Source organism: Homo sapiens, chromosome 3 (assembly GCF_000001405.40).
Source record: "Homo sapiens chromosome 3, GRCh38.p14 Primary Assembly".
NCBI lineage: Eukaryota > Metazoa > Chordata > Mammalia > Primates > Hominidae > Homo > Homo sapiens.
Genome location: NC_000003.12, coordinates 144343727 through 144368821, shown reverse-complemented (window position 1 = coordinate 144368821; position 25095 = coordinate 144343727). Strand labels below are relative to the sequence as shown.

Here is a 25095-nt window from a genome sequence, read left to right as displayed (position 1 = left end):
CACCCAAATCTGATCTTGAATTGTATTCCCATAATTCCCACATGTTGTGGGAGGGATCCAGTGGGAGATAATTGAATCATGGGGATGGCTTCCACCATACTGTTCTCATGGTAGTGAATAAGTCTCACGAGATTTGATGGTTTTATCAGGGGTTTCTGGTTTTGCATCTTCCTCATTCTCTCTTTGCCTGCTGCCATCCATGTAAGATGTGACTTGCTCCTCCTTGCCTTCTGCCATGATTGTGAGGCTTCCCCAACCACATGGAACTGTAACTCCAATTAAGCTTCTTTCTTTTGTAAATTGCCAAGTCTCATGTATGTCTTTATCAGCAGCATGAAAATGAACTAATACAGTAAATTGGTATGAGTAGAGTGGGGCACTGCTGAGAAGATACCTGAAAATGTGGAAGTGACTTTGGAACTGGGTAATAGGCAGAGGTTGGAACAGTTTGAATGGCTCAGAAGACAGGAAAATGTGGGAAAGTTTGGAACTTCCTAGAGACTTGTTGAATGGCTTCCCCAAAATGCTGATAGTGATATGGACAATAAGATCCAGGCTGAAGCGATCTCAGATGGAGATGAGAAAATTGTTGGGAACTGGAGCAAAGGTGACTGTTGTTACGTTTTAGCAAAGAGACTGGCAGCATTTTGACCCTGGCCTAGAGATTTGTGGAACTTTGAACTTGAGAGACATGATTTAGGGTATCTGATGGAAGAAATTTCTAAGCAGCAAAGCATTCCAGAGGTGGCTTGGGTGCTGTTAAAAGCATTCAGTTTTAAAAGGGAAACAGAGCATAAAAGTTTGGAAAATTTGTAGCCCGACAATAAGACAGAAAAGAAAACCCCATTTTCTGAGGAGAAATTCAAGCTGGCTGCAGAAATTTGCATAAGTAATGAGGAGCCAAATGATAATCCCAAAGACCATAGGGAAAAGGCCTCCAGGGCATGTCAGAGTTCTTCACAGCAGCCCCCTCCTATCACAGGTCCATAGGCCTAGGAGGAAAAAATGGTTTCATGGGCCAGGCCCAGAGTCCCCAAGCTGTGTGCAGCATAGAGACTTGGTGCCCTGCATCCCAGCCACTCCAGCCATGGCTGAAAGGGGCCAACATAGAGCTTGGGCCATCATTTCAGATGGTGCAAGCCCCAAGCTTTGGCAACTTTCACATGGTATTGAGCACAGAAGTCAAGAATTGAGGTTTGGGAACCTATGTCTAGATTTCAGAACATGTGTGAAAACGTCTGGATGCCCAGGCAGAAGTTTGCAACAAGGGCAGAGCTCTCATAGAGAACCTCTGCTAGGGCAGTGCAGAAGGGAAAGGTAGGCTCAGAGCCCTCACCCAAAGCCCCTACTGGGGCATCATCTAGTGGAGCTGTGAGAAGAGGGCCACAATCCTCCAGACTCCAAGATGGTAGATTCACCAACAGATTGTGCCATGCACCTGGAAAAGCCACAAACACTCAACATCAGCCCATGAAAGCAGTTGGGAGGGAGGCTGTACCCTGCAAAGACACATGGGTGGAGCTGCCCAAGACTATGGGAATCCACCTCTTGGATCCTTATGATCTGGATGTGAGACATGCAGTCAAAGAAGATCACTTTGGAGCTTTAAGATTTGACTGCCCTGCTGGATTTTGGACTTGCATGGGCCCTGCAACCCCTTTGTTTTGGCCAATTTCTCCCATTTGGAATGGCTGTATTTACTCAATATCTGTACCCCCATTGTATCTAGGAAATAAGTAGCTTGCTGTTGATTTTATGGGCTTATAGGCAGAAGGTACTTGCCTTGTCTCAGATGAGATTTTGGACTGTGGACTTTTGAGTTAATGCTGAAATGAGTTAAGACTTTGGGAGAGTGTTGGGAAGACATGATTGGTTTTGAAATATGAAGATATAAGATTTGGCAGGGGACCAGGGAGGAATGATGTGGTTTGGCTCTGTGTGTCCACTCAAATCTCATTTTGAATTGTTCTCCCATAATTCTTATGTGTTGTGGGAGGGACTTGGTGGGAGATAATTTAATCATAGGGGCAGTTTCTCCCATACTATTCTCATAGTAGTGAATAAGTCTCACGAGATCTGATAGTTTTATCAGGGGTTTCCACTTTTGCATCTTCCTCATTCTCTCTTTGCCTACTGCCATCCATATAAGATGGAACTTGCTTGCCTTCTGCCATGACTGTGAGGCTTCCCAAGCCATGTGGAACTGTAAGTACAATTAAACCTCTTTCTTTTGTAAATTGCCTAGTCTCAGGTATGTCTTTATCAGCAGCATGAAAACGGACTAATACACCTGTCATGTCTGAAATTTGATGTCTCCCAGATGAGCAAGAGTCCAGAATCTTGTCACAGTCTGCTTGGGGTTGCCATACTTATTCTTGCCCTCCAGGAACTTGGTGTACCCTGCCTCTTCCCTCCACCCTTTGTCTTTAACTTAAGCTACAAACCTAATCTTCCTTTATTCTCAATGATCCCATCCAATAAACACACATACCACATACATACCAACACACAATTAACACCAAGACTCATTGCTTCTATTGCTGAATTATCTCTTGGAACTGCCCACACTTCCAGATAACCACTGTCATTTCCCTAATCCAAGCCATGTTGCTATGTAATATATGCTATGACATGTACTACGTCTTCCTTCAGGACCACTGTCATGGCCTATAAGCCAATACCAACACTTCCACTCTTGTTCTTCTCCAGTCCTTCTCTGTGCTATTATCCAGAGACAGCACATAAAACACAAGTATAATCACAAACATCCACTGCTTAAAACTCAACAATTGCTTCCCATAGGCCTTAGATAAAATCAAATCTCTTTGACACAACTTACGTGGCCCTCCATGTCTGGCTCCCCACTAATTCTAAAACTGCATTTTCGACTGTTCTATAGTTGGTTATCTATGCCCCAGCCATGTTGGACTCATTTCAGTTTGTAGTTCATTCCTAGTAATCTCCCTTACCTCCTGGCCTTATATACACATAAAGACAACTCTAAATGTTCTTTTAGGCATTCTTCAAGTATAAACTTCTAAATTTTCCTTTCTCCAGGAGGCCCTGAACTTGAAATTAAGATAGGTCTCCAATGCCACTCATTCCACTATATTTTTGCTTCTCATGACGTCTATCGTTTTTGTAATTACTTTCTTAATGTCTATTATTCTCATTAAGCTGCATATTCATTGAAGGCTGGGACCATCTCAGTTTTGTTTGTAGCTAAAGCTGTAAGAGTAAATAGTTAAATCTATTGTATAGAAGGAACATAATAAATATTTATTGGATAAATTAAATTTTTGAAAGACTACTTATCAAAATAAACAGTAGTAATCATTTAATTTGTTGAGTAATTCTATCAATCATTTCAATTATTCATCTATAAAGCCCATTTACATCATATAATATAACATATACTACAAAACATAAAGGGCTTTTATATACATGCACTTCACATCAGTTAATAAATATTTATATTCTTCAAAATCCAGATATATCTTTTTAAGATTGTGATTATATGTTTTCATTAGCTTATAACCCTTCATGTAATTTTAGAAATATGCAACTGTTTTCCATAAATATATCCTCTTTGTTACTATTTTCTTGGCAAGATAGAATCTGGGATTTCCTCTGGATTCTCTTCACAATACTTCTCTACAATCCAAATACTCTATTATCATTAAATTAATATGATTTTTGTCACTATAGAAGTAATTTCCTAGGAGGAAGCATTAACTATGAGATTTGGCGCTTGGACATTCCCACTAAAACTAGTGAAATGGAAATGGCAGGAGAATGTCAAAAATGCAAATAATGCTTCATTGTCAGATATGAGCCAAGTGGTATGGTATGACCAGCATGAGTGTTTGAAGCTCAGAGATACAGGGATTTCCAAGGAAATACATACCCCAGATATTCAAAGGTCATTCCAATTCAATTCTAAAATAATGGAGCCTAAATTATTAAGTAGAAGCTGTCCCAGACACCCAGAATTAAACTGAAGCCAATTAAGTGCTTAATGCTATTGGGTATCATGAACTAATTCTCCCAAACTCCAGGGACAAGTTTCATTCCAATCCGGTTCTAAAAATAAGAAGCCAGAGACAGCCTCAGAATATTTTATTTCATCTCAGGTTCTTTATTGACTTGAGACTTGTCCTTATGTGGGGTTGAGGGCAGTGGAATGCATTCTAAAGTGAAAAGACACTTACAATTAAAATTATAATTTATTCAGCAAATTGTAGAGGGTATTTTAGAATCTTTACCTCAAAAATTAAAGTTCAGTAAATTTTCTTGGTTGATGTCAGGAAAAAAAAAAAGAGAGAGAGAGACTCCATTTTCTCCAGTTCATGACCACTGCCACCATGGGCCAGGAGCAGGATCACCACAAACTTAGGTATTCCAGTCACCAGCGTTTTCAGATTTGAACTACAGTGAAATTCTGATTTAATCCACAGTTAACCCTAAACATCCTGCAGAGTGACAGACCAAGTCATCATCTAAGAATAGGGAACCTATATAATCTTCATCCCACAGTTCTGAACTCATGTTAGGGAAGCAATCACAAAGTCTCACCCTTGTTCATTAGAATAAAATTTTTAAAAAATAGAAAATGCTTATTCTTGTTTTACTTCAGAGCACCTGCCACTGATGCACCCAAGTGTTGCTTTTTCCTGTTATCAACTTTAGGCCCAGCTGTCAGGTCCTCACACCTTTCCTCATTGTGACTCAAGGACTGTGGTGTTTTCATGTATTATGTTAACTCTGTGGTATTTTTAGCTCTGCCAGCTGAAGATGCCGGCCTTACTCATCCCTTCATCCCTCTTCCTAGTAGCTACATTCCACCTCCTCTTTTCTGAAAGGAAACATAGGTTGGGCACGGTGGCTCACACCTGTATTCCCAGCACTTTGGGAGGCCGAGGCGGGTGGATAACCTCAAGTCAGGAGTTCGAGACCAGCCTGGCCAACATGGTGAAACCCCGTCTCTACTAAAAATACAAAAAATTAGCTGGAAATTAGCAGGGTGTGGGGGCGGACACCTGTAATCCCAGCAACTCGGGAGGCTGAGGCAGAAGAATTGCTTGAACCCGGGAGGCAGAGTTGCAGTGAGCTGAGGTCCTGCCATTGCACTCCAGCCTGGGCAACAAGAGTGAAACTCCGTCTTAAAAATAAATAAATAAATAAAATAAAAATAAAAGGAAATATATCCTCTCTCTTTAACAATATAAGTTGTCTCTACTTTATTTTGTTCAGCTGGCAACTTCACATGAAAGCTGAAGTCAAGCAAAAGCAGAGAAAAACTGGCACCCTCTTCTAAAAGGTCTGGGCGGGGTGGGTCTGCTATCACTGCTGGCCAAGGATTCAAGAAAAACTATCCTCCCTATATTCCAGAAACTGTTCTTACTAAGGCTGACAATGATTCCCTAATATCAAAACCAAAAGATTCTTCTGGGCTTTCATCTTCCCAAAGATGACAGTTCACTTAGCACTGATGACCAGTACCTTCCTCCTTTGGTCTTCTTGACCACACACCCTTCTGGTTCTCCTTTTGCCTCACAAAACAATGGATCACTTATTCTCTGTTGCATGTAAAGATGCTTCCTGTCTAGCCCATAAATGATCCTGAGGCATTACACTGGCTTATCCTCTCTTTTTAACTAATATACTGTCCCTTCATATATGTTATCAGTTTCCTATAATAGCTAAAGACTTCCTCATCTCTATTTTCAGTCAGACCTCTTTCTAATGCTCCATGCTTGTATGCCCAACTGTCTATTCAATCTATTTGCATTCCAACTTTACCGCAGGAAATTTAAGCTCAACATGTCCAAAATTAAGTTCACCTCCTTCCACACTTTCCACTTTAAGAATGGTATCACTTTCTACTACCAAGAAATCAAAAGTACTATTAGGATCTCCTCTTTAAAAAAAATCAAATCCCATAGATTCCACCTCCTAATGTGTCCTTTGTGACTTCTCCTCCTCTCTCTCTTCTTACTAGTATTGCACTTGGGCATGTCTCCATGGTCTCTTGATCATGTGTCCCTGAATGGTCTCCCTCCCTCTCATCTTTTTTCCTTCTAATCAAACTTTACTAATATAATATTTTAAAAGACAAACAACATATTAGCTTAATGTCATTTTGTGGCTTCTCTTAGCCTAGCAGTTCTTAAACCTTAGTATGCATTAAACCACCTCAAAGCCTGGTTGAATCACCGATTATTGGGCCCCCTTTCTTAGAATGTCTGAATCAGTAGGTGGGGGTGGGCCTGAGCATGGGTATTTCTAAGATGTTCCCAGATGGTTCCCAGGTGGTTCCCAGGTGTTAATGCCGCTAAACTGAGACCACACTTTAAGAACCACTGTGTAGCCTACAGTATATATTTCAAACTACATGGCATGGTGTAAAAGACGTTGTCAACCCGTCTCTCCAGCCATATCTCCTGATCTCTAAATCTGATAAATGAGCTCCAGATGAATGAAAGTGACTCACTCCTTCTTGCCTCTGTGTTTAGCTTAGCTATTACTCCTTTCTATTTTTTTATTTGCCTGCCTATTTAACATCCACTCATGTTTCAAGCTCCAGCTCAAGTGTCACCATCTCATTATGGTATTTCCCAACATGGCCTCCTCCCCTCCTACTACATCCACACACTTGCTGGTAGAACTGGCTACTCCCTTCCTTACACCTCACATATGAACTGGAGTCTACTCTTGTCACAGAATATGTATAACTTCATAACACTTAACTTCCCATTTTCCCATTTAAATTCTAAGGTCTTGTGGGTAGAAACTCTCTTACTAGAATGTACACTTCCAGTATGTGGTAGACACATATTTTTTTGTAGACATTTAATATTTTGTTGTTGACTGAAAACAGATAAATTTGTGTTAAGTCATTTTTAAAGTCTGTTTTATTGTCCCATATACATTATTTTGTTAAACTTTGCATAAGGGAAACATGAATCTGAAAAAAATGCAAGAGTACTTTACCGTTTTAGTATAAGATAAAATGTGGACAAGATTAACAGAGAGGATTAAACTTTCTTTTTATTCTACATAATGAATTTAGACACTGAGAATTTGGCTAATGGAATATCAGGTCGTATAACTGACTGCATAGCAATTCCATAAGAAAAAAGAGACTCTAGTAATTCTATTGCATTCTTGGCTACATTGAGCAACGCCAGCATTAATTTATGATGCAAGTACCATGCTTATATAAAAAGGATCTAGGCCGTCTTTAAAATGAAGAGAAACAATTCACTCTAAATAGGGCATGGAGTGGGTGGAAGGTTTGGCTGTGAATATAAATTATTGAATTGCCAACCAAAAGAAAAACTTTATATTCCTACTGGGCCAGAGATACAAATCCCTGGATGTATCACAGCATATTACCAAATGTTTTGTATAGTTCATTTATTTATGCATTTATTATTTTTAAAATATCACACAAACTATAATAGCCAATAACGATAGTGTAAGATAGTATGCTAAGCACAGTGGGGAATTCAAAGAAGAGGTCAACATCACTCTTGTCCTATATCTCAACAGAGGCACTATTGGTATTTGGGTGGGACAATTCTTAATAGCCCAATGCATTCCAGGATGATTAGTATTCCTGTTACCCATTCACCAAATATTGATAGTATCCCCTAGGCAATGTGACCAAATACCTCTGCATATTCTCAAACACTTTCTAGGGATAGTAGCAGCCACAGTTGACTAGACCTACTATGAGGAAGGGGCCCACTGTAAAAAAATTGTGAGTCTCTCTCAGGACATCCCACCTCATTTTTAAGGGAATAAGGAGAAATTGAGAAGGAATATTTCAAATTTTCCTTGTTATAGTTTACACTCATGTGTTATTCATGTAACCCACTAATTAACAAGCTTACATGTGAATGGCAATGGTAATATCTAGTAATGAGTTATTTCTTGAATTGATATCAGCTATTGTAAGTTGGAGAATAAATTATTATCTGGTCTAGAATCAAACAACAGGCACTGAAGAAAATGTTTAATTTTCTATCAATGCATAAGATATTCAAATATGCTATGGCTATAGATAACAAGCTTATACTTATTTATGTAAACAAACTAGAAAAGGTGAGTAGACTTTGCCTCCTGATTTGGGTTATTTATTGTGTGATAGAAAATTTATTTTACTTGGTATACTCACATATTATTAAAACTTGTTTAATCAAAACAATATGAAATATGTTGATAAACCAGAATGTCAATTTGTTAATTTACAGTGGAGCCTAGATTTTGTGTTTATGTCTTCTCCTCAGGGCGATTTAATAAGCCAAAGTCATAATTAAAAGGCTCCGTCTCCACTGCTTCCACCTTTGGCCTAGTCTAGCCTGCTGTGATTGCATCTTAATCTGGCTCCCCGCATCTTGTTCACCCATTTTCAATCTGTCCTCAACTATTTATCCTTGTGATGAACGATCATAAACAAATCAAATGATGATTTTACTTCCTTGCTTAAATCCTTTTAAGCTAGCCCATTGCTCCTAGGATAAAAGGCCATGAAGATTTTTTTTTTCCTGAAAATAAACCTAAAGACTTAGTAGCTACCAGACCAGAACTCTAAAAACATCTAAGTTTTTCAGACTGAAAAGAAATGATAACAAATGGAAACTGAAAGCAATAAGAAGAGATAAAGATTGCTGAAAATGGTATGTGAGTAAATATAAAACCCTATTTTTTGTTTATTTAAAAGATATTAAATTTTTTAAGCAAAATATAAAAACATTACATTGTATGTTTTTTATGACACATATAGGAGCAAATTATAGGATAAAGAGATAAATGGTATTGTACTTTTGTAAGATTACTTGAGCCTATATAATGTGGTACAATATTAAATCCAATTAAACAGTATTTTTTCATAGAGCAAGCAATTGAAAAATAAGTACAAATTGGTATAACTAAAAAACTGACAATTAAAAACCTAATGATAAAACAATGTTTACATAATAAAAAAGGAAACGGAAACAGAAAAATTAATCCAATAAGTGAAACAGAGAAACAATGGAAACTAGACTAAAATGTATCATATCAATAGTTACATTAAATCTAGATGGAGAAACTAATTATGTCAAAATTTGTCAGACTACAAACAGTAAGAGACAAGTATATTGCTATCTATCAGAGTGCAGACAGAGATAAGTTAGATGAAAATTATAAACCATCAAACAATAAGAAAGATAGTAGAGTTATAGATATATCAAACCATATAGATTTCAATAAAGAGATTTTACAAAAAATTATACATGAGATAATTTGTCAGAAGCACATAATAATCCCCAGAGTGATGCGCTTAATTATAATGCAAAGTACACAAACAAAATTTGACCAAACTAAAGGAAGAAAACTATAAATCCAAGTAAACAATAATAGTCAAATATATACAAACCCTCTCTCATTTACTTTTGAAACAAGTAGTCATATAATAATGATAAGGCTACAGAAGAATTGAACAACACCATCAACCATGTGGACCTAATTGACATCTATAGAGTATCACTCCCATTCACCGTAGAATAAATATTCTTTCAAGTGAACATGAAAGTTTCATCAGATTTATCATATGCTGTGCAAAAATACTACAATAAATTTCAAAAGATAGAAATGTTAGATACTTGTCTAGCCAAAATGAAATTAAATAAGCAAGAAATAACAATAAATATTTGTTATTTACAGATCTGCAGGTCAAATATTTTTAAATTAACAAACATTAAAAGTATGAATCAAAAAAGAAATTTAAGAAAATAATTAGAAAAATTTCAAGCTGAAAAATAAAAATAAGCATCAAAATTTGTGGATTGCTGCTAAAGTAGAGGAAAACTTTTTAGCTTTAAATGCTCGTAGTGAAAAACGTAGGCAAAATCAAAAATCTAAGAGTCCACCTTAAGAACTTAATAAAATGTAAGCAAATTATGAGAAAAAATGAAGAGCAGAAATCAATGAAGTATAACACTAATAATAGAGAAAATTAAATATAGTAGGCAGAATGATGTCCCCAAAGGTATCTATCCCCTAATCTTGGATATCTGTGACTCTATGACCTTGTATGATAAAAGTGATTTTGCAGATATAAGGACAATGATAGACCTTAGAATGACGAAATTTTCTTGGGTTATCAAGGTGGGTCTAATTTAATTCTTGAGACCTTAAAAACAGAAATTTTTTTCCAACTGGAGTCAGAGAGATGTGGCTAAGTGGAAGCCAAAGAGACTAGAAGCTTGAGAAGGACTCCACACATCATTGCTGATTTGAGATGTGCAATGTGACATGGAATGCAGGCACACTTTGGAGATTAGAGAGGTTTCTAGTAACAGCCAGTAAATAAATAGAGGATCTCAGCTAGATAATCACAAGGAACTAAATTCTGCCAACAAGCTAAATGAGCTTGGGAGTGAATTTTTTCCCAGAGTCTCTGGAGCAGATCACGGTCCGGTCAGCCCACAGATTTGAGCCTTGTGGAACCAAGCTGTGAACCAGGTTAGTCATGCTGTACCCTGATTTCTGATCCATGGAAACACAGAGAAAATAAATGAGAGGTTAAGTTGTTATGATTGTAATAATTTATTATGGCAGCAATAAAAAAGTAATACATGAGACAAAAACAAACTTTGTTTTTTTTAATAGCTTTTGTCATACAAATGACAAACACCTAATAAGACTGACCAAAATTAAAAAAACACAAAATGTCAATAGTAAATATAAAAAGGGGACATTAATGTAAATTCTTTGAACTTTATAGAATAAAATTCTTTATAAATAAAACAACTTTATAAAAATAGTATGCCAAGAAATTTTAAAACTTAGGTGGCAAGCATGAATTCTTTGGAAAGGACAACTTGGCAAAACTAATATAAAATATATATGTGTGTACACACATATATCTCTATTTCCACTAAGGAAATTGAACTTGTAACTAAAACCTTCCCATAAAAAACTCCAAGCCAAGATAATTTCACTGGTGAATTACAGTAAATATTTGAAAAATAAATAACAATCTTACTTGAACCTTTTCAAACAATAGAGAAGGAAATAACACTTCTCAACTCATTTTGTGAAATAAGCATCAACCTGAAACCAAAGACTGACATAAAACAAGTCAAGGAAAAATATTATTAATCTCTACTTTTTTATATAGATGGAAAATCTTAATGCAATATTAGGAAATAAAATTTAGCAATTTAAATAAACAGTGTACACAATGACAAGGTGGGGTTTCTCTCAGGAAGGCAAGGTGAATTAGCATGCTAAAATCAATAGGTAATTTACCATATTAACAGATTAATTAAAAAAGAAAAACCATGTTATCACTTTTATATATGCAGAAAAAGTGTTTGAAAAAGATTGAACATCCATTTAATTGGGCACTCCACCTCTAAGACTGGGAAAAAGGAAAGGATATTTCCTCTCACCACTTCTATTCAACATTGTACTAAAGCTCCATCCTGTTTTTATTCAGAAATAACATGAGTACCTAAAAATCTCAAATAATGAAAGAAAAATCTGTCAGCACTAATAAACAAATTTAGCAGTTACACTATAAAGTGCCAATAAACAAAAACCAATTATATTTCTATAAGCTAATAATAATTTTAAAATGAAATTAACAAAATAATATCAACAAAATCATAAAATAATGAAAATAAACTTAACAAATTACAGGGAAGATCTCTTCTGCACCAAGAACTCCAAAACATTCCTGAGACAAATTTTAAAATACTGAAATGTATGGAGAGTTCTATCAGGTTCATGGATCAGAGGACTCGATATTTTAATATGTCATTTTTTCTCAAATTGGTCTACAGATGTAATGCAAGCAAAATTCCAACAAGATTTTTTTTAATCTGTAAGCTGACTATATGGAACTCAAAGGATTTAGATGAGCAAAAAACATTTTTTTAATTTAAAAAATAATAAAATGGGAGAACTGCTGCTACCTGATTTCAATATATATTATAAAATTACAGTAATAAAGATAATGCAGTATGGATATGGGAATAAACAGATCAATGAAACAGAAACGAGATTTCAGAAACTGACTCATATATACGGTCAATTATTATTAAAAAAATACAGAGGAATTTCAATGAAGAAAAGGAAAGTCTTTTTAAATAAATTTTGGCAGAACAAGTAGATATATGTATGAGGGAAAGAATGTTACACCATTCTCCAAACTGATGTTAAGCTGATCATTGACATAATGAGCAATATAAAAGTTAAAAGAATCTTGACATAGGCAAAACTTTCTTAGTAAGGATGTAAAACACTAAAGATAAATGAAAAATATAATCTGGATTTCATCATATTAAAAACTTCTGTTTATCAAATGACACAAAAATGAACAGTAAAGTGCAAATTGGGAGAAAATACTCTCAGCACAAGTGACCAGCAAAATACTTGCACCCAGAATACACTAAAGAACACTTGCAACTGAACAAGAAAACAATTTAAAGATGCATAAAATACTTGAACAGACATTTTACAAAGTAAAATATGTAACTAGCCAGGCACAGTGGCTCATGCCTGTAATCTCAGCACTTTGGAAGGCCAAGGTGGGAGGATTGCTTGAGCCCAGGAATTCAACACCAGCCTGGGCAACATGGCAAAAATATCAAAATTAGCTGGGTGTGGTGGCTCAGGCCTGTAGTCCAAGCTACTCAGGAGGCTGAGATGGGAGGATCACCTGAGCCTGAGGAGGTTAGTGAGCCATGATTGTGCCACTGCACTACAATCTGGGCGACAGATTGAGGCCCTCTGTCTCTCTCTGGCTATGTGTATGTATATATACATACACACACACACACACACACACACACACACACACATATATATGCACACACACATACATATATATGAGAGAGAGAATATATAGAGAGATGTCAATATGCTAATTAGGCACAATGAAATTCATACCTATATTCTTTTGATGCACTATTCCTTTGGGGTACAGCTAAACGTATATTATCTTTTAAGGTCTATTTAAAAACAAAGATAATAAACATTCCTTAAAGAGGAACATATCTGTTTATGTACTTATTGACTATTTACCTATATGTAACATTGAATATTAAATATTTATATATATAGAATATTTACACATGTGTAAATATTCCAATATCAATATTTGCATATAAGTAAATAGTCAATAAGTACATAAACAGATAATATATTTATTCTTAGGAAAATGAAAATTAAATTCACAATGATAAACCACTTTACACACTATGAACACCAAATATTCACAACGATGTGATACAAGTGAAATGTTAACACATTCAAGCGGAGTGTAATATCATTCAACCAACTTGGAAAATTGTAAATTTGTTATAATGTTAAATATATATTCAACACATAACCTGAAAATTCCAGTCCTAAATATTTATACAAAAAGATTTGTAAAAGAACTTTTATAGCAGCTTTAGTCATAATAGCCAAAAACTAGAAAAACCCATAATGGCCAAAAACTGGAAAAATCCATCAACAGGAGAATGGATATACAAATCATGATATATTTATTCAATGAAATGTTTTACAGCAATTAAAAAAAATTAAATTTTGATACATGCAATATCATGCTTGAATATCACAAACAGATATTACATAAAATAAAGCAAAAGAAAGACTGCATATTTTATGATTCCACTATATGAAGTTCAAGAACAGGCAAAAATAATTTATAACTATAGAAATCATAACTGTGGCTGCCTATGGGAGCCAGGAGCACAACTAGTGGAGAAAGTAATGGAAATGCTCTATGTCTTTATTGGGATGATGGTTACATCTGTCAGAACTCATTATTACACACTTAAGATTCACACATTACAAAACATTTACCCCAGTAAAAATATGTTCCTTTGGAAAATCCAAAAAGAAGCATGAGGAGTTATCTTGTGAAATGTAGTAGAACTGAGAGACAATGTTTACGGTCTATTTGAAGACAACGATAATAAATGTTTAGCTGCACTTCAAAGAAATAGTGGGTCAAAAGAATATAGGTATGAATTTCATTGTGGCTAATTAGCATATTGACAACTCAGCTGACCCTGCAAATACATATAGTAACCTGTTAGGATGTTTACAGTCCTGTGACTGATATGCTATGATTTATAAATTAATATACAAATCAAATAATTTATAAAGTAATATATACATCAAATAATTTAGAGTATGTCTTTGAATTAACTTAGTCTTATAAGAGTTTGGATAACAGATTAATATAATCCTAAATGCCAGTGTCTATCAATATTTTGTTAATGTTTCTACTCTAATAAATATATTTCTAAAGTTTAATTCTAATGTTGGTATTACTGTTGTGTATTCACAGAAATCTGGACAAATGATAGTGTCATGTACTAATCTATAAAATCCAATCCATGTTTTAAGTTATTGTGCAGCTCAACTTGCAAAGCATTTGGGATATTTTACAACATTGTGCTAATGAAGCATGGGTCATAAGAATAAGTTTAACAGTGTTATTTATTTCAATACATACTAACTCAAGATTTTCTATTTCTGAACATGACGGGTTAGAATAATTAAAGAGGTGTATGAAATAATACTTGCCTTTTTATCTGAAAGATTATATCCATGAGAAACATTTTAGGTGCTGATTTATTTGACACATACGAGTGAGAAACAGCTGTACTTGAAGTAGTGAATTATGCAAAAAAAAATTGTTATATAAAGGGTTAACATCCTGCATAGGAAACCAAACAGCTGAATTATGGTAATCAGAACCAAGACTGGATGAACTTTCACTGTGGATGGGATCACCTGAAGCACAGACAGTCGCCAGGACTCATTAAGATCAAAATTTGCTTTTTCTCTCTAAAATCTCTCAGTCTTAAACAGTACTATAGAACATAATAACTCCTCAGTAAATGGATGATGAATGAACAAACACATGAGATAAATGGGATAGGGATAGGGAATAGTGAAAAATGGGGTGCCACAGTGTGATTCTGGGCAGCTGAAAGAATGGCCACACCAAAGAGAAACCACTGACTTGAGGAGAGACACTGGTGGAGAGGTTGGCAAATTCTCATAGCATCAAGCAGTAAGCATTGAAATTAGAGATCTATCCCTTGCCTTCAGAAGACATCAATAGAATGTCCTTTCCTAGAGTTGTCAGGTTGAGAATATGTGGGAGATTTTATATCTATGTCATTGGATGTTACAGCATCAGAGTCGCAGTCGACTGAGCTGGTAGATCCTCCTCAGAGCTCAGTGTAAACAAAGTTTCTGATGTAGAGGGAATTGATATTGGGATAATGAAATGGACATAAATAATCAACCAATAAAAGAAAAGGACAGGAGGGCAGGCTCGAGTTCGAATTTAAGGATATGTCTTTTATATGTGTTCATTATTTTTGAAGCATCTTGCAGACTGACCATTCATCTGTGCAGCAGAGGAAAGATGTGGGGTCAACATTGTCCCATAAATAAAAATATCATTTTCTGAAAATTCTGCTGTATGAAATATCTACATATTAAAAATTTTAAACCAACTAAATATTTTTAAGTGAAGTAACTCCATCTCTCTCAGTAGCCTCCATCTCATCATACTACTGTTTTGTTTCCTAAAGTAAATCTTCAGCTGTGAATTATCCTAGAACTGTGAAGCTTGTGTGGTATATCATAATTTTGTCACAAGAAAATTAAAAAGGCATTAGCAGTATGCAAAAAGTTGTATGTTTTCAATCCACGCAATAAAAATAAATCTAAACTCTTTCCCTATGTATTTGTTATTGCAATACCCCATCAATCAGTAAGAAGGAAAGCAGACTGACTAATGAACCATAGTGTTCAAAATGGAGCCTACTCTTGCAGGCCCTATGGGGACTAGTAAGTATTGCTGACCCACAAACACATTCTTCAGAAACCATGAGGGTGCTCACTTTACATTCCTTCATGAGTTAGTTCAATATATAATTAATCTAGTTTTTCATTTCAATTTCATTTACATGGTATTATATGGTGGTAGAACTTTTGGGGAACTGTATAAAATAACATTTCTTTCCGGATTCCTCCAGACAAGTCTTTTTTTTTTCCAGCTCAGAAATACATATTTGGGAAAATTTCAGTTTGGGTATAGGCTGACAGAGTAATGGTTTCATCCTTTAGAACTAGGACCATATTCTCCTTTACATCATTTGAATATTAATTTTGCTTTGTAAAAGAGTATGCAAATTGAAGGGAGTTCTTATGGTCCCTCTGAAGTGATAGCTACTCCTCAACAGAGATGTCACTTGTGTTTACTTTGAGAAAATGACTTACATATTCTACATTTTATTTTTCTCCTCTGAAAAGTAGTATCATTGGAATAGAATGGCATTTCTCAAAGTAGGTTCTGTGGATGCTAGCTAGCCGTGTGTGCTGGTATAGAAAAACCTACTGCGTTGTGAGAAATTTTTAAAAGATGTTGCCATTTATAAGACCTTATTACAGAGGAAAGAAAAAGGGTAATATTTTTCATCCGAAAGTTGGAGATTCTATTCTCCAGTTCCCTAACATATCAGAATAAGGATTTCTCGCATATGTGAGTATAACCTTAAACATTTGCATTGCAATCAGCAGGGAGGTGGGAACTCAACTCTGAGCAGCAAAAGGGAAGACGGATTTTGTAATCATAAGTCAGCAAATTACAAAAGACTGTTTGGAAAGAGTTTTGCCAACATACATGTGAAACGGGGCCCAATATTTATACAGTAAAATATTAATCAGCTCATGATGTGTTTCTAGGGGAAAATAAGCTCTTTGTTAGTTGAGATTTTAATGTTTTGAATATGTGACATGAAGTTCTGTTGATTTTGGAAACCACTTATCTCTTCAGTGATTCTTTAAGCATGAAGGGTCCAGGGTCAAAGAATTCTGGCAAACAATGGTTCCTAGCCTTGAGAGATTCACAGTGCACATTGGCACATTGAAGGTTCTCTGTAAACTGTTTAACTCCATGCTTCCCAAACATGTTTGACCATGCAACCTATAACATGTACTTGCATCCCAGGTCTCCTTAGAGCAGTATTTGGGAAAAACCTCTGATGATTTCTAAAATCTAATATATATATATGTACAAAGTCCATTCAGGTTTAGTCTCTTGCAAGAATATATTAACATACATTTGTATGTTATATATTATGTATATAATATTAGATATTAGATATATAATATTAAATTATATTAAATTAGATATATAATATTAAATATTAGATATATATCAATATATAGTAGATATATTCTTACGAGAGACTAAACCTGAATGGACTTTGATTTGCAGCCTTCCAAACTAGTGCAAGTATATCTGAACAGTATTTCGGTGGTTTCTTTTAGTTTTCATATTACTCTCTCAAACATATTTCAATTGATCATCACAACTCCATGGTAGTTATTTTATAACCGAGTTTTACAATTCCAACTTGACATCAGGAAGCCAAAATACTCCAAAGACTTCTGCAAGTGATTTCAGTGAAAAATCATCTGACACCAGAAAAATAGTCATAACTGCTCAATTTGCAAGATCTTCTCTGGCCAGCACCACCTCTCTGCTTTCATTTCCCCAAGATTTTCATTCTTTGAAGGCTGAAATCCAAAATGCCCATGTTTCCTACTCAGGTCTTATGCAATAACTACCCTTTGGCTCCAAATGACTATTGTTTATCTCACTTTTTCAAGACATTAGAGAAATGTTGTATTACGGAAAGAACACTGTTTAGAGTTAGACACTCCTGGGTTCCAATTCTGGCTCTGAGAGTCATGAGTCTGAGGGCTTATGCAAGTTGCTTTCTGTAATCTTATTATTTTTCTTGAAAAGGGAACGATAACCCCTATGACTCCCAGGGATAATAGTGACTTGATATAGACACACTCAGTACAAATTATTTTCCCTTTACACCTCCCTTTCATTTTCTTTCTCATTATCAGAATTGTAAACAATTAAACATTGACATTATTTAGGTATTTATTGATATAAAACTTGAATAAAACAAATGATTAATAGCCTAAGGAAAAGAGCAATCATCTCAGTGCAACCATTACGCTCAGACCTCTCTGCAGGGTGCGATCTTCACTCTAGGACGCAAAAGCGGTGTTTTCCAAGATTCTGCAGAGCTTTTGTGTCTACAAGGGGTACAGCAATTTGCAATGGATTCTCATTTCTGAGACAGAGAAGTCTTAAGATCTTACTTGAAAAGGAGTTGGTAAATGAAGAGAAGGCCAAAAATCCACACCACTTCTTAGTGAAGCCCAGTAGCATTGCATGGTAGCATTTTGAAAAATAAAGGTACTCACTCATTCATTCATTCATTCATCTAAAAACATTTATTGACCACTTACCAGGAGTTGGGAGAATGAAAGAAATTGTGGTTTGTTCATCTTTATCCTTCAGTTACTGCTAACTCAGGAGGATGCCTTCCTGTGTTACGGGGGACAATGGAGTGTACAGTGAAAGCTACTCATGTAGCAGCCAGAACAGCAGAGGAGCATGTGGACAGGAATGGATGTGAGAAAACCTACTTCCTTATTGAATAAACTAGAGGGTTAATTATTCTCCCATAAACAGGGGCTTACTAACCCAAATTGATTTAAAAACAGCGAGTCTGGGGCGATTAATGTTTAATGAGAGACTCCAGAAAGTATCACTCATGAACTGTGCCTTATTTAGCAATGTACGACCACATTTTTATATATTGGATATATATTGGAAAGGATATATAATCTTGGATATATGTTACCCTTAAGTTTAGAAAGTAAACAAGAAAATTATGTGGCATGGCACTGCATATTAAATGTCAGAGAAGCAGAACTATATGTATTATGTATCTCAAACTTATTTGTCACCAAAGCCAATTTCTGAAATAAAAGATTCATAGTTGTTTCTTTTGAAGTTGCATAGAAATAACCTTTCCCAAAATTATGGGTGGCTTAGTGTGTAGGCAGTGCAGTCATCAGTGCTTTAGTTAATGTATGGTTTGTTTTGCAAAGAGTTTTCAACATTTAAAAGGAATGTTCATGAATTTCTAAATGCTATGTTTGCTGTAGCAAGACACTCAGAGTAATCATTACCTCCAGCTGTGATTTCCATCTTACCCACCACTGCCCTCCATGTGTACTTCTTTTAAAGTTGACAGACATTCTGCATTTTAACCTCCCTGACAATAATTATGTAGTTGGTGAGCAGCAACCATTCAGCTTAGGTGCATTTACTTTCTATTTAGTCCCAATTATATGATCATGAAGCACTTCAAGAGGTAATACAAAGTAAAGCATTATGACAATATAAAACTGAGAATTTAAGTGCAAAAGAGGAAAAAGTTATTTTCAGTGAAATAGAAGAAGAAGCACATCTTTTTATGGAGGTTCTTTTTTAATATAATAAAGTGCTTTGGAACAAATTATTCAAAATAATTTATAACGTTCCCATTAGAAAGTATACATAAACCATAGCAAAACCTTCTAAAATGTTAACATCTTCTGAATATTTTTATTTCTTAGCTATTAAAATGTTTTAACAATATCATCCCAAAACAGAGTTACTGCCTAGAAACTCCATGAAGATTTTTTCTTTTCCTGTAGGAACTCAGAGTGCAAATTATCCCATTTTAAGGCACCATCCAACATATCCTTTACAACGTTTTTTTTTTTCTTCAGGAATAAAACAAAATTAATGCAAAATTTTACCCAAATATATTCTACTCAAAATATGCAAATAAAGTCAGAAGCTTAACATATTAAAACTACGTAGAAATGTCTTCAGCATACACATTATATATGTATGCATATATACACAATTTATCATATATATTAGGTATGATGGACACATATATTTCTCTTCCAAAATATTCCACCACTCCAAGGTCAGTAAGATGGCAGAACTAAATTATTTCTCACTAAACCCAAAGTTAACAATTTGGAATTTGATAATTAAAAAAAAGTACTACCTATTGTTTTCTTATTAAGAATTTCCATAGAAATAATGATTAATAAAGTCAGTTATGTGTAGCTCACAAAAATGCGAGCTCAAAAGAAGTTTGACTTCATTATATAGACTACAGGTTTCATATAATTCAGATGTCTGTCGGATAAAGTCTATGTATATTTGTGTGTGTGTGTGTGCACATGTGTGTGTGTGCATGTGTGTGTTATTTTTTAAGACATTAGGATTACAAAGACACAGCTTCAAAAAAGGGATGGAAAATAGAAAATAATATCTTGATATCTTGGCAGTTTAAAGTAGTAGAGAATTTTCATAGGAACAAATGTGGTTTTGAATTGTGTATTTCTATTAAAAGTAGAATATACATTTTATATGTGTGTGTGTGTGTATATATATATATATATATATATATATATATATATATATATATATATTTAATTTCAGGTGAAGACCAGGTCAGAACACAAAATGAAAAAATGCTACTTTGTTTTGTCTCATTAGAATTGTACAGGAAAGACCTAAACTTGACAATGACTGTTTTCATAATTAAGTTAAATAGGAAAGTATATTACCTGGTCAAGATATTATAACATATATGAGAAACATGGAACCTCTATATGACAAAACCTATTATTTACTGGGCACTTTCCCAACCATACTGCTGTGGAATTTTCCTGAGCCTCTTCTCAATGGCTACAAGGGAATTGAGCACATAGAAAAATAATAGGAGAAGCCAAAATGGGATCAAATCCAAGCCATTATTACTGAACCTTTTTTTTTTTTTTTTTTTTTTGAGATGGAGTCTCACTGTGTCGCCCAGGCTGGAGTGCAGTGGCATGATCTCGGCTCACTGCAACCTCTGCCTCCTGGGATGAGCAATTTCCTAAGAGTATCCAGTGTGTTATCCTTGATAACCTTATCATTGATCCATGTTGAAGATCTCTTCATGTCAACAATCTTTACCTCTTTTATTATGTGTGTTTTGTGTATGTGTGTGTGTCTATATATATATATAACTTTTCTAGAATCTACTTATAATTGCCTTGCAATTCCTTTTAGATATGACGAGTCCTATTTTCTTATTAGTCCATTATATTTCTATTATGACCTCATATTTTTTAGTTATTCCTTCATAAGCAATAATTGCAATTTAAAGCATTGTAAGTTAAACTCTTTTCTCCTAGAGTTATGTTGTAAGTGGGAGGATTCACTCTTCGAAACCTACTTTACACAGAAAAATACCAAAACTGGTTACCAACAATAATAGATAAAATAGATTAGAAATGTAAGGTTTATAAATGTTTTTTCAAATATGTAAAATCAACTCCATATGTACAGTGGTCTCACTAGGGCTGTCTCACCCAGATATTCCAGGAGCATTTCCATGAAGAGTAATCATCACCAACTTTGTTGCAGGATAGCCCAATATTTTCAGACACACTAGCAGGCAGGAAAAAGGAATCAAAAGGCAAGACTCAGGCTACACACTCCTCTTTAGCCTATTGACAATGTCTTCAGGTTTTCATGGTTACAGACCAGGGCTGGTGGAATCTATGTGTATGTAAAATTCAGACCTAGAATGCTTTCTTTCTCTTTTTTTTTTTCCTTATCAATCTCCATAGAGTAAGTAGTAACATTTTTTATTGCTTTAGTGTGTATTCCAATTTAGAGATGTCCCTCTTGAATTTTCTATTGTTGATTTCATGGGCATAAAAACCTCAGAAAATCTCTGAATGCAATATTGCAGAATTTAGTTTCTCAGCTGTGAATATTACTTGGGAGAGAGAGGTAGTTATATACAGCCTTCAAAATGCAGATTCACAAGTCAAACTGCCTCAAGTCTGTACATGTAGTATTAAAACATACTCCCTGGTTCACTAGGCCCTATTTCAGAACTCCTCAGATAAAACTTAATGTCAAGACTTTAAAACCATGTAAAATGTCAGTTTTCACCCGAATGTATGGAGTCCAAGGAAAGCGCCACTGAGTACATGTGGGTTAGAAGTCTCTGTTTCTCACTGTGGTCTCTCTAATACTATCTCAGTCCATGAAGAGAAATCATTACCAACTGTGTTGCAGGATAGCTTGTTATTTTCAGACACACTAATAGGTAGGCAATGAAAATGAATCAAAATGCAAGATTAGGGCTGCATACCTGTCTTTAGCCAGTTGGCATTGCCCTTAGGCTTTGATATGCACAGATCAGAGCTGGTGGAATCTAGTTGCATCTTTCATCTTACAGAAGAGCACGTTCAGATTCCCATGGGGAAGCGGCCTTCCACTTGATACCAAACATTTAATTTTATCCAGTACAAAACTACACCTAATCCCTCCTTGGTAAACATGTGTTCGAGTCAGGGAGAAACATATACTCAGTAGCAAACTCAGTTCTACTCAAATTTATCTCCTGTTTAGAAGATAAGTAGAAATACAATTTTTGAGGGTTGCAATGACTTTGTCACTTACACATTTTAATTTTTCCATAATGTTTTGTTAGAGAAGTTTTTAATTTGTTCATCCTACAGAAAACAAGCAGCTATGTTGTTTAAATAGAAATTTACATAAAATGTGTTTATTTAAAGCTAAATATTTAATAATCCAAATGAGGAGGACAGGCAATAAAAACATACTTGTGGGATGTATGTTCTATTTCCTTCAATTTTAGAATGGAAACTCTTACTTTCAATAAAGTACCAAAAGACTATGTAGCAGTTCTTGTATTTAGACCCTCTTAACCAGGCTTTCAGAGAAATAACGGATCAGAATGCTGGCTCTTATCAGTAAAATACATTTCATGGTAAATTCAGAAAGAAAGCATTGAGTAGAACAGATGTATGCTCTTTAAGGACCATTTATTCCACCAATCCTATTAAAAATAATAATGCAGCTTCTCTCTCTTTATAATATTTTGAGCCTTCTTTTGCTATACATAATGCCATAAGTTAATACTTTACATGAAAACCTATTTCCAGGGAAATCCTGTTGGGCTGCTGAACTACAGCAAACTCTAATCTCTGGAAGAGAGGGCAATAGCCACAAGGGATAACATTGTCTACATTTTAAATAGCGGTTGCTGTTTTCTTTGTGTTTAGTACAAAAAATGAAGGAATAAAGGAAGAGGGCACTTTCAAAAGACTTATTGGGAACTAAAGAAAATATTAAAAAGAAGGATAATTCCCCTAAATAGAAAATCAAACCACCCAAGCCCAGGTTGGTGAAAACTGATGTTATTTTATTCAATTGAAAAAATAAACTCTAAACACAAATATGGCATGTAATGAACATGGAATTGTAGTCTTAAAAACATTTCAATTTAAGGCAGGCAGTTTATAAAATGAGGGCATACATATTCATGCAATGCAATTATTTGTCAACATTTTTACAAATAATTTTATAGCTTCCTCCCACACACACATTCAGAGGGCATAGATGAATGAGGAACCACTTCAAAGGAGGAAAGACTGTTACAAACAGTGGTAAATGTGGTTTTCTTCTTTCCCACTATCTTTCCCACCCCGACTCTTCTAAAAAGAACGAACAAACAAAACCCTTTCTAGAAACAGGAGCCCAAGAGGAAATCTCAGTCTGCATGCTAGCTGCTAGGGGATGGAGACACAATAATGAGCATAACACAGTTCCTCCCTTCAAGGAAATTATCAGCCAGGGAAAGAGAAATCTACAGGCTATTATAATGCAGCACACCAAATTCTCCCCTCTGAATACTGTATTTTCTGACAGCAAATCAAACTGCTAAGAATGCCTGGAATTTGAAAAGACACAAAAGGTTTGGGTGTGGAAGGGGGGATAGGGTTGGCATAAAGGTGAATTTCATATATCATCTGAGATCAGGAGATGGATCAAGATATTCTACAACTACCTGTCTCAGTGCCTTATCTCCACTCCTGCATTTCTCACACCCATCCCCTCATTCAACCTCATTTGTTTGTGTTTTGCAGATAGTTCTTCAAAAATAAGCAGATAAAATCATTGGGAAAATTTTCACTACAGCATGCCTGCAAGGTAGTATTTCCAATAGCCTCCTCATCGCCTTAAACCAGTATCACAGGCTATTGAGTAGAAGTTTCATCTGAGACATTAGGATAACTAGACAACAGGCCAAGACAAAATGCCATACCAACAAATATATTTTCAAAGGAAATTGCCAAGTAAAATATAAGTTTAGAAGTGTGTTTTACTTATATCCACATTGAGAATCTGAAAGAATCAGGAGCGAATGCTGTGGGAGAATTCTTAAGAAAGATTTCCATAGTAAAAGAAATTCTACAGGAACCTTCTACATCCAGAAAGGGAGATAGAAGACTCTCTCCTCTTTAAGTCAAAAGGGATGAGATTCAAAGGGAACACACCTTACAGTAAAGTGACCCAGTGGACTAGTACCTGCCTTCCATCTAGGAGGCTCGGTTAACCAGAGACGGGCTGGAAAACTGCTTCGGTGGTGGAGAGACTGAGAGTTGCTTCTGTATTGGGCCTGGGCTATCATTCCAGAGTTTGAATAGTTAAAGAGTGCACAAGAGTTTCCTGTTGATCAGATGTGGGCTCATATGAAAGAGAAATCCAACTTGGAAGTATTTAAAATTGCTGAAAAGAACTAGCCTGAGAGATACCATCTGGGAAGGCATTCAAACTCCAACAGAGAGAATCTGGGTAGAAGAGACTTCTGAAACACTAGAACTTAGGAGCCAACAGTAAACGAGAGGAAAAAGCAGCACTCACATCAGGGAAAGGGTGACCATACCTAAGCAGTGGGGGCCTCTGGAAACCCAGAAAATAATCTTTCAAAGAGTCAACTTTGAACAGTTGCCAAGTCCACAGAGAGCATGCCAGCTTTTGACACTACCAATCAAGTAAAAATTTCCTAACTTCTTCCTCCTCTTCTTTCCCTCAGCCTGCAGGGTCAGAAACCAAATAGAGCAAAAGAAGGAGAAGAGGAATAAATAAAAATCCTGGAGGCTGGGCGCGGTAGCTTATGCCTGTAATCCCAGCACTTTGGAAGGCCGAGACGGGTGGATCACCTGAGGTTAGGAGTTCGAGACCAGCCTGTCCAACACGGCAAAACCCTGTCTCTACTTAAAACAGAAAAAAAATTAGCCGGGCATGGTGGCCGGCACCTG

At 35.5% G+C, this 25095-nt stretch overlaps 1 long non-coding RNA gene across 4 annotated transcripts in view; it reads right to left on the bottom strand.

Annotated features, from left to right (window-relative positions):
- LOC105374140 (uncharacterized) overlaps positions 1-25095 on the bottom strand; it is a 266957-nt gene that overhangs the window by 116129 nt on the left and 125733 nt on the right. For 2 of the 4 annotated variants that reach the window (XR_924558.4, XR_001740943.3), the window contains exon 1: positions 18364-18525. The exons of the other annotated variants lie outside the window; for them this stretch is intronic. This is a non-coding gene — a long non-coding RNA (uncharacterized LOC105374140). Of the gene's footprint in view, positions 1-18363; positions 18526-25095 lie in introns of those variants that run through there. 4 annotated transcript variants of the gene reach the window in all.